The sequence below is a fragment of the Homo sapiens genome, chromosome 9, assembly GCF_000001405.40.
Source record: "Homo sapiens chromosome 9, GRCh38.p14 Primary Assembly".
NCBI classification, from domain to species: Eukaryota; Metazoa; Chordata; class Mammalia; order Primates; family Hominidae; genus Homo; species Homo sapiens.
The window spans coordinates 67,802,364-67,817,281 of NC_000009.12; positions in this window are offsets into that span (position 1 = coordinate 67,802,364).

The window sequence follows — 14,918 nt, forward strand, 5'->3', positions numbered from 1 at the left end:
GTTTGTAAAATATATCATTACTAATTGGCGTTTATCTTGGGAGTTCAAGATGGTTTCCATATTCAATCAACCCATCAATGTGGACTATGGTCACTTGAAAAGACCAGCAAATCCTCTGCACAAAAGGCCACTAGAAATTCATTAAAGCAGCCTTCCATCATTCTCGAAATTGACCAAAGCATTCAACTACCTGAGAAATATTTATGTTTGGAAAGCTATTGAAATGCAATTAAAAATATCAGGAAACCTGTTTTTACCTTTTGTCCTAATCTTGCTAAATCCTTCTTAATTTTAGGAGACACTGCTTCTCCTTCCACTGTTCTTTTACTTTCTCCTTCCCCTTTGTTTTTGCCTCCCCCTTCCTCTCCCTTTTCTACATTCCTTCTCTCTCCTAAATGCTGTATAAATTTCTACATATGTAATCATATTATTTACAAATAGGAACAGTTTTACTTATTTCTTTCCAGTCTGCATTTATTTTATTCTTCCTTTTTTTCCTTACACACTGGATAGAACTCTAAGTATTATGTTGAAAAAGAGTGATAAAAGCAAACATCTTTGCTTTATTCCTGAGCATACATGTGGAAAACATTCAGTGTTTCACAGCTAAATATGATGGATTTTTTGTATGCTCTTTATCAAGATGAAGGAATTTTCTGCTATTTCTGGTTTGCTGAATTTTTATCACAAGTAACTGTTGAATAGTGTCTTTTTCCCCTGCATTTATTGAACTGATCATGCATTCTCCTATTTTAGAATATTAATATGATGAACTATATTATTAGATTTTTTAAAATATTGCAACTGTCTTGCATTTCTGGAATAAACATGGCTTGGTCATGTGTCACTTTTTTACATAGTGTCGTATTCAAGTTGTCGAGGATTTTGCATCTAGGGTATATTTGTAGATTTGCATCTAGGTTATGTTGGTCTAAAGTTTTGTTTGTTTGTTTTCCTTTTCTTTTTTTTTATCATCTTTGTCTTCTTCTGTTTAAGTGTCATGCTTGCTTCATAAAATGAATTGAGAAGCATTTCTTCCTCTTCTGTTTCTCGAAAATTGTAGAGAACTCTTGTTTTTTGTTGTTGTTTGTTTGTTGTTTTGTTTTTTCTTATTTTTATCCTCATACTGAGAACCAAACAGTCTGGAGTGTAAAACATGGTTCCTCATTCCAGTTAAATCTAGTATACAATGACAACAACCCTCTTGGGTTAAGCATTGGCCTACAAACAGAAAAAAACCTTCAGGGAGATAGATGCTGATCTAGGCATTGTGAGAAAAGCTGAATTCATTTTTAATCATGAATGGCTTTTAAGGAAAGAAGATTTATTAACTAAAATAAATAGATTAGAGGGAATTCTCACCTATGAGAGAGGAAGGGATGGGATTCAACCTGGAAAAAGTAATGAAGTTTTAGTGAACTTGGTAAGGTAGACTCAACAATTAATGATGGATAATGCTAGGACCCAACACTGGTAATGAGTTTGTATTATGACTCAATAGCATCACTTTATCACTTTAACACAGATGGAGGCCTAAATAACCATAGGGTAATGGTTCTTCTTAGATGCAGAAGGACACATTTATATAATCTTAGGGACCCCATCTCTGAGGTCACTCATAATTTATATTAATTCATTGTTATTGCCATTGCCCCAAGAATAGATAAGGATAAGACATCCTGTAGTACAGGTAGCAGAGATATAAACTATTCTTATTCTTGTGTCTTGTCTATAGGAAGGGAGTGTATCCTGGTGTAAGACAGCATATAGTAGAGACCATTGTCAATTAGGGCCTGTGAACTAAGACAGGGTGACTGGCTAAGTCCACAACCCATTAGAAACCCAGAAATAATCAAATCATGGTGAGTAGTAATAACACTTATTTATAATACTATACGGTATAAAGACAAGAACCAATTATGTTGAGTAGCTGTAACAAATAGCTCTATCATTCGTAATAACTTTTTCTGTAATAAAACTGAATTGTAACATGATCATACTGCAATATGACATTACACTAGCATTGTTGGTAAGATTCAACTATCTTATGTAGAGAAGTTATATAATGCTTATATTGATAATCAAATGTATTAAGATATTGAGTTAAAGCCTCTTCAGAATGTAATCTGGGTGAATAATAAATGGTCTGAGAAAACAGAATTCAGCTAACCATTATCTAATTTCAATGCTAAATAGTTCTGCACAGATTTATCAAAAAGTAAAAATAAAAGCAGATTGAGAGGAGGAATGAGTAATTTTGTTTGTACAAAATATTAAAGTGTATGTAATGGGCTTGTAGGATGCATTAGTAATTTTTAAAAATCAATCTTTACCCTACACTGTGTCCATAAAATGCTAGGCATATTCATGTTAATATTACTGTTGTTACTGTCATATAAATGCCATATTCAATGTAGATGCTCAGAAAAATATGATTGTTTTGCTACAGGAGAGATTAGACCAGGGACAATAAATATGGATTAGGCAAGAATGTGTTAACTCAGCAGCCCAGGGTTTTTTCAACCCTGCACATTCAAAGGTAAGGTTTGTTTTTAGGACTAGCTAGCCTCTGAGTTCTGGAAATAGTCTTACCGTGAAGAGTGTTTTTGTATATCTGAGGCCTTGGGTTTATGGTGAATGACTGACTTTATATGCCTGAGGCCCTGAGCCATGCTGTATTTATTTGAACCATGTGGTATCAATTTAACCAGATACGTTTATTCTAAGATATGATTTATGCTGAATGCCTGGTTTTGTTCTAGAGGGATCATGGAAAGGAAGCTGAATTTGCCAAGTTTTGCCACTTGGGCATTGCATGCCTATGTGATTAACCACCAATAAAAACCTGGGACATCAAAGAATAAATAAGCTGCTCTAATTGCCAAGAATTCACATGTGGTTGTATGCAGCTTTACTGGGAGACTGAAGTGTATCTGCATGTGATTCTGCTGTGATGGACACTTGTAAGTTTGTGCCTGGAGTCTCCTGGACTTTGCCCTGAGAATCTTTTTCCTTTGTTGATATGACTCTGCATCCTTTTGTTTTAATAAACTGTAAACATGAGTATAATTGCTTCTCTGAGTTCTGAGAGTTTTTTAAATAATCAAAGCTGAAGAGCAATGGAGACCCCCACCAAAACATCTTTACACATTTCAATTTTGTATTGAAGTAAATTTTATTTTCTTTTTTATACCTCCCATATATATTCTATTTTTCTCATTATTATTTATTTTATCCCAAATCTTTTATCTGTGATCATTTTCCTTTGTTTGAAATTTGTCTTTTGACGTTTCTTTGGAAGGTGCTTTTGGATGATAAATTTTCTGTTATTCTTTGTCTAAAATGTCATTATTTTGACTCATTTATAAAAGGAGTTTTTGTGTTTTATAAACCTCTAATGTATAGAAGTGTGTCTAAACTCATTGAGGATATTTTCCAAATTTTTTCCTACTTTTTATTGCTGTTGATAAGAAGTCAGTGTTGGTATTTTGACATTTAAGTTATGTGTCATTTTGTTGTGGTAGTTCTGAAGATCTTCCCTCTGTTTTATATTCTCCTTCACCTTTCATAAATGTACTTTATATTTATTTGGTAATAAATTTTGAACATATACTATGCTATAAAGATAATCTAGGCCCTTTGGTTACATCTTGTAAATAAAATCAACAAAATCTGTTTTGAGATTATATTGTAATATAAGATACCCAAAGTAACTAGGATGTGTACCATATGTTTGAAGGTGGTAAATACGATGAGAAAAATAGATCAGGTCAGGAAGAATGAAGATGATTGAAGGTACAGTTTATGATGAAAACTTAGGTGTGCCGAGGAATGATTCATCTTATGTATCTTGAGTGTAATGTCTTATTTCTCCTGAATCTGAGAATTTGATGTCTTTCATTAGGGATGTCAGTAAATCTCACTAATGAATATATTAGACTCCAGTTTAATATATGATAGTCATTTTCATTCTGTCTTTCATATCACTGAATCCTTTCTCTTTATTGTTCATTTTTATACATCTCTTAATAGTCAAAGTGAATTTAACTATGTTTTACGTTATGTGGTTATTCTCACTTTAGCTATCTCTAACATATTATGAATGTGTCAGTTGTGTGTTTACCGTTGTTTGAATTAAACTTTTAAATCATTCATTTTAATTCTTACTTAATTCAAACTTGTTTGTTATACATTCTTATAATTCCAGTATCTGGAGTCTTTCTTCATGTGATTCTTTTATCTCCCTGTTTTCCTCCTATATTCTTTTCATGCACCATCTTTCTCTGTGTGTTTTGTTTTGTTTTACTGTCAATTCCTAACTAATAGAAGTATATTTATGCAAATAATTTTAGGATAGAATTGAAATAGGTTTCCCAAAAGGATTATATAAATTTGTTTGTACCAAGGGCCCAGGGTTATAAACAGAATGAGATCACTTTAAATTTCTGTCTTGAGGATTTTCAAGTTACACAGGTCATATTAGTGAGAACCCCAGAAAAGGGCATTCTTTTTTTTTTTTTATATTTCACTTTACGTCCTGGAATACATGTGCAGAACGTACAGGTTTGTTACATAGGTATACATGTGCCATGGTTGTTTGCTGCACCTATCAACCCGTCATCTAGGTTTTAAGCCCCACATGCAGGTATTTGTCTTAATGCTCTCCCTCCCCTTGCCCTCCACCCCCAACAGGTCCCGGTGTGTAATGTTCCTCTCCCTGTGTCCATGTGCAGAACCTGCAGTTTTGTTACATAGGTATACATGTGCCATGGTGGTTTGCTTCACCCTTCAACTCGTCACCTACATTAGGTATTTCTCCTAATGTTATCCTTCCCCTAGGCCCCCGCCCCCTACAGCCCCTCCCTGATGATCCCCTCCCTGATGATCCCCTCCCTGTGACCATGTGTTCTCATTGTTCAACTCCCACTTATGAAAACATGTGGTGTTTGGTTTTCCTGTGTTAGTCTGCTGAGAGGGATGGCTTCCAGCTTCATCCATGTCCCTGCAAAGGACACAAACTCATCCTTTTTTATGGCTGCATAGTATTCCATGGTGTATATGTGCCACATTTTCTTTATCCAGTCTATCATTGATGGACATTTGGGTTGGTTCCAAGTCTTTGCTATTGTAAATAGTGCTGCAATAAACATACGTGTGCCTGTGTCTTTAGAGTAGAATAATTTATAATCCTTTGAGTATATACCCAGTAATAAGATTGCTGGCTCAAATGGTATTTCTAGTTCTAGATCCTTGAGGAATCACCATACTGTCTTCCACAATGGTTGAACTAATTTACACTCCCACCAATAGTGTAAGAGTGTTCTCTTACTACACTTCCAATTTGGCTGGACTTTGAACTTTGTCTCTGGTCCCCTGCTTTTTACAGTCCCAAGAAACATGGCCTCATCCTTATCAAGACCAGAGAATGCTCTCAAGGTAAAACCTTAATTTTCATAAAATTATTGTCTTCTTGCCTGATCATTGTGACACTAAAGCAAGATTTTTTTAATGTTTCATCCAACTTTTAAGAATTATTTTAGTGGTAGGACTGAGCCAGGTTTCTAATCCACACTACTGCAGATAAAAAAATGACAAAAGGTAACTTTCAAAAATAGAGGCCGGGCGTGGTGGCTCACGCCTATAATCCCAGCACTTTGGGAGGCCAAGGCGGGCAGATCACGAGGTCAGGAAATTGAGACTATCCTGGCTAACACGGTGAAACCCCGCCTCTACTAAAAATACAAAAAAAATTAGCCGGGCGTGGTGTCCGGTGCCTGTAGTCCCAGCTACTCGGGAGGCTGAGGCAGGAGAATGGTGTGAACCCACAAGGTGGAGCTTGCAGTGAGCCGAGATCGCGCCACAGGACTCCAGCCTGGGCGACAGAGAGACACTCCATCTCAAAAAAAAAAAAAAAAAAAAAAAAAAGAAATTCATCTTTTTTCATGAAAGATTTATTATACATTCTAAATAAAATGGAGATAGAAAGTTAGCATTTGAACTTTAAAGTTGTTAGCATAAGGAGCAATGAAAACTAAATTTCTCCTGGGAGTTACTCATTTTTCTGGGTTGTAAATGAATGCCATATTATTTTTTGATGTTTAATGTAAAATATTATTGACTGTAATAATCCAATATGATCTAGGATATTCAGTCTTACACAACATAGGGATACAGTATAGGTTGATGTACATCCAAAATTATAACACACTTTGTTCAAACACAATGCATATTACATTTTCCTGTAGCTCAAATCTGTGTTATCTGTATTATTAAGAGATATAAGGAGAGGATTCAAAATAATAGCTGAAGAATTCTCATTAATTTTATGAATCTAGTAGATCAAAATGTTACTCTAACATTAATAATTTCATAATACAGACTGTGAGGCTTACATAAATCTGTTTCAAAAAATGTATAGCACTCTTTAGCTTTCATGTTGTAAGACATTCAGAATATAATCCAAAATAAAGTTGTAATAAATTATTGCATTTTAATGAGTATTTTAACATAAAATGTGAGTTTGGGATTATTATAAATCCAAAGACACATAAACTCAGTTTCTAAAAGATATGATTGAGGGGAAATCATGATTTATTATATCTTCATTTTATCAAAAAAAGACACAGTTATTATTTATAATAAAAATGATTACAATGCACACATACTCTTTTGTGAGTTGCCACAGAATTTTCTATTACCAAAACCTGTCAAGTTCAACACATGTCTAGAATATGTATAAATAAAGGTTGATCTGTGATATTAGATATTATCAAATAAAAAATATTCTTATTGAAAAAAATGTGATTCCTTATGACAACTTCAGGGCATCTTCTATTTGCCCCCTGTCATCAACAGGGGAAATTTTCTTTCCTACATTTCTCACTAATCATTTCTGACAAGTAGTTGGCAAGCTTAACTATAAAGGGTCGTCCATAGGGTTCTAGGTCAACCTTACCCTTTGGGAAGAAAGTATACATGATGTCTATGAATAAATGCCCTCCAACAAAGGAAAAGGACAATGCTTTACATAGTGTGTGCATAATCATTTTTCAACATAATTAGCTTATTTGTGACATGATTTTACTGTCATTGCAGGTGTTTGACATGACCCACGCTTTTTCTTTGTGCCAAGAAATACAATGGTTTTGTATTACATTAATACTTTAGATCATCTATAATATGAGTCAGGTTTGGTTAAAAAACATATAAAAATAAAAATCTCAGTTCTATTTAAAATACTAATGAAAATATCTTACCAAAGTAAGACATTAGCAATGCATTATCTGTCACTTGATATTTTGTGTGTTTGCTCATTTCAACAAGGGAAAGAGAATTAGAAAATTGGAAGAAAAATATTTAAGTAATTCTTGTAAAATTAATATACATATTAAATATCATGAAGGGTAGAAACAGAGTTAACATTTAAAATGTTTATAACTAATGTGTAAATTTAATTGAAAGCCAACTGATTGCTCTGAATTTTTATGAGGAATAATCACAATTGTACAGAAAATAACTGACACCGAAAGTATCTACCTTTTCACATTTAAATGCAAGTGACTTTTTGTTCATTCATTCAAAAATTATGGATTATTATACTTTAGCTTAAATGTTTGTCTCCCCTCTAAAAGCCATTTTGAAACTTAATCCTCAATGCAATAGTATTAAGAAGTCAGGCCTTTAGGAGTAATTAGGCCATGAGGACTCTGTACTCATAGATGGGATTAGTGCATTACAAAAGGGCTGAAGGGAACTAGCTAATGTAAGGACACAGCATTCAAGTTACCATTTTAGAAGCAGAAACTGGGACCTCACTTGGTGCCAAACCTGCCAGAACCATGGTTTTGAACTTTTCAGCCTCCTGGACTGTGAGAAACAAGTTTCTGTTCTTATCAGTCTCAGCTATTTTGTTACAGAAGCACAAGCGAACTGAGACCTGAGATGGGAGTGTTTATGTGCTAGGTATGGAGCTAATTTCTGAATAAATAAAGATGAATACATTCTATGACCTCATCATCTAGTGCCTGTTACAGTCATGCAGTGGATATTTTTTCTTGCCTTCTTATTACTCATTTTTGCTCTCCTCACTAAATATTGAGGAAAACATGAATGCATCATCAGTTTTTCCACTGATACAACTGTTTAAGAAGTACATATGACATTATATTTTTTCTTTCTGTATTCTGTAGACTTACCTGTAAAGTCTAAGGCTAACATTGACTTTATGCTAATTAGTACTGTGTTCATTTCAGATGTGTAATATGCCTTGTACAAATATAAATAGATAAAACATTAAAGGTGCTACTACTCAAAACACACAGGGAATAAAATATTCTATTTGAAACATCAACATAGAGTTTACACTGAGGGAAATTTTTATTCATTAGTTTAAATGGGGCAAAATACAATAAATATTATTTGGTTAAAATAGAGAAAGTTAAGTGGAAAGATGAAATGATGAAGAGCGCAGAGAAAATTGTTCAGTTTGCATACAAATTGGGAAATTAACACCTAACCTGCCTAGGTAGAATTTCATAGCGTTAACTAAAATAATTACTTAAACTTACAAGATTTATTAGAAAAATATGAATAGAAAAATAAAATGCATTGTTGCATTTTATGTAATTTTACTTGAACTTAGTTTATAACATGTACATAGATTAAGTTGATTTAAATATTTTATGTACAAAAAACTATATTGTTGAAGATTCTAAGAGCTTAAAACTAAAATACAAGATAAACATTTACTTTACAAAAATAGTAAATAAGATGAAGAATTTGAAAGAATTTAAGAATTAATTTCAGTTTCTTTTCCAAAATGTATGTGGTTAGCCTACAATGCTTTTACAATCTGTTATTTTATGAGTATGAATATTGATTTTATTATTACCTAAACATGTATTATTTTTAAAGTATGGCAAAAGAATTAAAGTTCTATAGTTTGACAAAGCTGTAAAGCAGATCAATCCTTTGACAGCTTAATGAATAAAGCATGCATGTAGTTGACACTAATTCATTTAATAAACATTTGTAGAACATATATGTGTAAGAAATTGTGCTAAGGAGATGAATGGCACATTAAAATAAGAAGACAAGTTTCCAGATACTAAGGAGTTTATGTAACTGTAAGGTACATAAAACAATACAAATGAAAAGGCTAAAATAAGTCAGAAAATGAAGGGAAGAAAACAAATATCCATATTAAGTATACATAATATCTCAAATATTCTTTAAGATGTCTTAAATAGATTTTAATATTTAATCCTAATGACAGGATAATCTGATTTATTACAGACGATATAATTGAGGCTAATACAAATCTGTTGACTTTAAATTTTCAAAGTCTTCCTGAATTATTTGACTGTATAATATTTTGGTAAACATAAATAAGTGGATACTAATGCATTGAAACAGAAACAGAATACTGTTCAAGAAATAGAAAAAAATGAAACAATAGAAAAGATCAAATTTGTAGTATGACTACAATTTAAGATTTAATAAAGACAAAAATAGAAACCAATATGTAGTTAGGAGGATAGAAAAAAGTACAGTGGACCCTCCATATCCATAGGTTCTGCATGTGTGGATTCAACCACCCATGGATCAAAAATATTTGGAAAAACATTTATGAAAAAGTGAACACATATGGAATTCTGCCTTGTCATTATCCCCTAAAGAACACACTATAACTACCTACATAACATTTACATTGTACTTGGTATCATAAGAAATCTAGAGATGATTTAAAGTATGTGACAGTGTGGATGTAGGTGTATAAAATACTATTATACATCATTTTATGGAAGGGTCTTGAGCATCTGTAGATTTTTGTGTCTGAGGGTTCCTAGAACCAGTACCCCACAAATACAGGGGAACAACTGTAATGAGTTCCTAGTAAACTAGGCTGAAGTATTATAACTGTACACAAAATAATTTAAGGCAGAATGATTAAATAATATATAGCAGTATGTATAAGAAGTGAAGATAATTGAAAATTAAATTGATAGGAAAGACATGACAAATATAATGAAATCAATGGAAAAGCTAAAACTTTAGCAAGATGTACAAGCAAGGATTGGGTAGATTTCATCTGAAAGATGTAATTTCTAATGACAAAGTACTTTAATAGTCTAGCCTAATATTTTATTGTACCTTAAAACTTCCCTCTGGCTCATTCTGGTCTTATCACACCAGCTTTCTTATGGCTTCTTTTATCTGCCAAGAATTATGCTCTGGTCTAATTGACCTCCCCAAATTTGTATATTAAAATTCTCACCACCAAGGTGATAATAGTAAAAAATGGGCAATTTGGTAGGTGACTGGATCATGGGAGTGGAGCCCTTATGAAAGGTGCCAGAGAGACCCCTCCCTCTTCCACCATGTGAGGTTAGACTGAGAAATACATCTCTGTGGTTTATAAGCTGCTCAGTCTATGGCATTTTGTTATAGCAGCCCATGCTAATGAATACAGATGACCGTGTGTCTGCAGACCTTCCTAGGAAATTATTGAGTCCTTCATTGAATACTAAACTGTGAATACATGAGAGAAAATAACAGAAGCCTGGGGTAAAATGCCAACACAAAGGGTTTGAAGAACAATTCTCAAAGCTCAAGAAAACTCTGCAAATATTATTGTTGCCACAAACCAAAGTAGAAGACAGGGTAATATATGAGCTATTAGGTAGAATCTTTGGAAGAATCCTGCTTTTGTGATGGAACTCACTCATTCCTAAACCTAAAGCAACTCTACATCTTCTCTAAGAAAATTTTATAGCAATCTCTAAAAGCATCAAACTGATTCCAAATAATTTAACTGTGTTTGAGAACAAAATACAAATATACAAAAGGAATTCAACAAAATCCATCACATAACAATATAGAATTCACAATATCTGGTTTTGATGAACATAATAATTAGTGTTGAAACATGTTAATTCAGTTGTTAAAAATATGCTTTATTTTTTCAAATAAGATGGGAAAATATGTATATTATGAGAAAATAAAAATGGAAGAAATAAAAACAAGCAGACTCCTAAAACAGAAAAAATAAGTATATTAGATTAAAAATGTATGAATAAATTTAACAGCACTTTAACCATTGTAGAAAAAATACCAGTGATTTTGATAACATAACAATATAAACTATCCAAAACAGAAAACATAGACACATTTGAAAAAACAACCACACTGTGTTGGACAATATCAAGCAGCATAATACAAGAAGAGATGGAGTCCCAGAAGAACACTGAGTGGATGTCTGTGTGTGAGTATGTGGTAGGGAAGAACAAAACCAAAAATACGAAGAAATGATTGCCAAAATGTTATTAGAATCACAAATAAAGACAAAATGGCAAGGTAAACTATTGTCTAATTTCTGAAAATCAGTGATAAAGAGAAAAATCTTAAAAGGCATCAGAGATGACAAAATAATCCACATCAAAAGAAATACACACACACACACACACACAAATACGGGCAATTTTCTTCAGAAACTATGAAAACTTGGAGACAATGGAGCAATCATAAATAATTAAATAATAAAAAACAGCTTTATCTACATTTTTATAACAAGTAGAAAATTTTAAGCACTAAAGTAAAATAGGGCTCGTTTATTTTTAGAAAATTAAAAATAGGTTTGGAACTAGGGTAAAGTAAATGACACAACTAGGTCCCAAAACCTAAAGAGCTACTCACTTTCAGAGTTATATATTTGAGATTGAGAGTGCAAGACTTGTGCCTTGTGTGACCCGAGAGAGTTCCTCATTAAGTTTTTCACCAGAGGTAATTTGCTCATCTCAACGTTGTCTCAGCACTGAACAAAATCTAAAGAATTTCATTGTCAGCCACCCTCCATTGTCATTTATAAGAAAGAGTCCTAAGGCAGAAGTAAAATTTTATGAGAAGTATATGTGTGTCTGCAGAAAAAAACTGGCAATGTATTATACTGCATATCAAGTGATATACTGTTATTTGAAAGTAGGCTGTGATGAGTTAAGTATTTATATTTTAAAACTTAAAGTAGAAGTATTTATATTTTAAACCTTAAAACAGAAGTATTTATATTTTAAACCTTAAAGCAGAACCTAAAAAAAAGTACATTAGTAAACCAATAGTAGAAATAACATAAAATAATGAAGTACATATTTAACTAATCTACAAAATGTAAAAAAAGGATAAAAAATTGAACAAGGAGCATATAAGATAAATAGAAAACATAGCAAGAAGGTATATTTAAACCTAAGCTTATTCATAATCACATTACATTACATGTAAATCATTCATACACATCAATGAAAAATCAGAAATCTAATTCTGTCTACTAAAATTCTACTGTAAATATAAATACATAGATATCTGTGTGTGTAGTACAAACAAAAATTTATAGAAAACTAGAGTTACTATATTAATGTCAAACTAAATATATTTCAGAACGAAATATATGACCAGTGATAGAAAATATACTCACTGATTATAAAGGGGTCAATTTATTAAGATAACTAAACAATATTAACACAAAGAAACTATACAAGTTAAGGTGATGAATATCAGAATCCTGATTTGATAATTGTATGTCATATGCTTGTATGCATATGTATCCCATACATATGTGCAACTATTATGTATCCATAATAATTAAAAATTTTTTAGAAATAAAGAATTAGATAAATGTAATAGTGCCATGTGTTTATGTTAGAAAAGAAAAAAGAATCTAATCAGTTCCTAAAGCAAATTAAACCCAAACAAAACAGAATGCTGTTGTCTGAATGTTTGTGTCTCCTCGAATTTCCTATGTAGAAATCCTAACTCCCAAACTTATGTTATTAGGAGATGGGGTCTTTTGGGAGGGGCTTAGGTCATGAAAGTAGAGATCTGGGGCTCTTTTATAAGGGTACTAAATTAGTACTACATTAAGGATAGTAAATGAGTAGTTTTCTTACATAAGAGACCCCAGAGAGCTACCTTGCTCTTTCCATTATGTGAAGATGCAGAGAGAAGGAACCATCTATGAACCAGGAAATGGGCCCTCATCAGACATCAAATCTTTGAGAGCCTTGATTTCAGACCTCTCAGCCTCCAGATCTATGAGAAGTAAATTTATAAGTTATAAGTTTATATTATTATAAATTATAAAATTATGTTGTTTATAAGCCACAACAAAAAGGTATTTTTCTATTGCAGTCAAAATGTACTAAGGTACAAAGAAATAATAAAATACATATAAGAACAAAAATCAATAAAAATTGAAAGAACACCAAAATGGAATATCAATAAAATAAAAAGCTCATTTATTAAAAAATGAAAAAATTCTAGCTATACTCAACAAAAAAGAGAAAAAATACTAAATACTAAAGCCAGTAATGAAAGACTGTCACTAATTATACTACAGGTTATAAAATGATAGTAAGCACACAATGTTTAAACTTTATGCAAATACATTTTAAAAGTTTGGTAAACGGACACATTACTTGAGAGAAAAGAGGTTACAAAATTCACTTAAAAATAAAGAGACACCATGAATAATCCTGCATCTATTAAATACATTAAATCTATAATTTGAAACTCACATACAAAATAATTCCAGGTCAGGAAGGTTTCACTCTTGTATTCTCACAATCTTTAAAGAATAAATAGTAACAATTCTATGCAAAGTCTTTCAGAAATAAAAGAGGAAGCAACCCTAACAGTACATTATATGAGGTACAGATTACCCTTAAAGGAAAAAAATAGGTAGAGATTAACAGAAAACTACAGATCTACATTTTGATTTAAAAAATTTGTATAGGATTATTTTATTAAAAGTAGAAAAGCATTTGATGACATTTCACACATATTCATAATAAAGACTTACAGAAAAGTAGGCAAGAGAAACAAATTATTTCAAAAGTAATAAACATATATAAAAATAGTTAATATAGTGAAATACCAAATGGTTCCTCCTACTATAAGAAAGAATGCAAAAATATCCACTATGAACCATTCTGTTTGATACTTAGAAAACTGCAATACAGTGCTGAGAGACATTAAGGCAGACCTAAATAAATGGAGAGATAAACCAAGTTCAATAATTTGAATGCTTTATAGTGTTAAGAAGGTAGTTCTACTAAATTGATTTCTAGATTAATTGCAATATCAGTCCAAATCTCAGTAGGCTTTTTATATAAATAACAAATATTTTTTCAAAATTACTATGTAATGTTATAAAATATTATAAATTAATATTGAAAATATTTTACATGAAAGTTCAAATTTCTGGACCCTTTTAAGATAAGAGGATGGCAGTGTTTCTATGGTATAAACACTAAGTATATAAAAACTGAAGACTTCTATTAATATCAGACAAAATGGGCCACAAATCAAGAAATATTTTTAGCAGGATAAAGATCAATATAATTGGTCCAATTCATCAAGAGAACCTGATAATGCAAAATGTTTTTTCACACATTAACAAACAATTATGCATTTAAAATATTCAAGACAAAAACTTACAGAATTGAGAAGAAAAATATACAAATCCACAATATATTTAAAGATTTGAAAACTATTTTCTGATATTATTAAACAAGTAAATAAAAAATTTTAAAGAAAATATCTACAAATTCAATGACATTATAACCTAACAAGTTCTAGGATGCATGGAATATTATATTCATCACCAGCAAAAACTTATTTTATTTTCCAAGTGCACTGACATTCATCACATGTTAGGTAACAAATAATAAAGTTTCAACAAATTTAACAGGATTAGATCATGGAGAGTATGTTCTCTGACCCAATAGAATTAAATTTAAAATAAAAAACAAAACCAAAACTACAATGAAATCCCCAAATATTTAGATATAATAAACTTCTAATGATGCCTTGTAGCAAATAGTAAATCAAAAGATAAATTAGAAAGTATTTTGGTCTGGATAAAAATA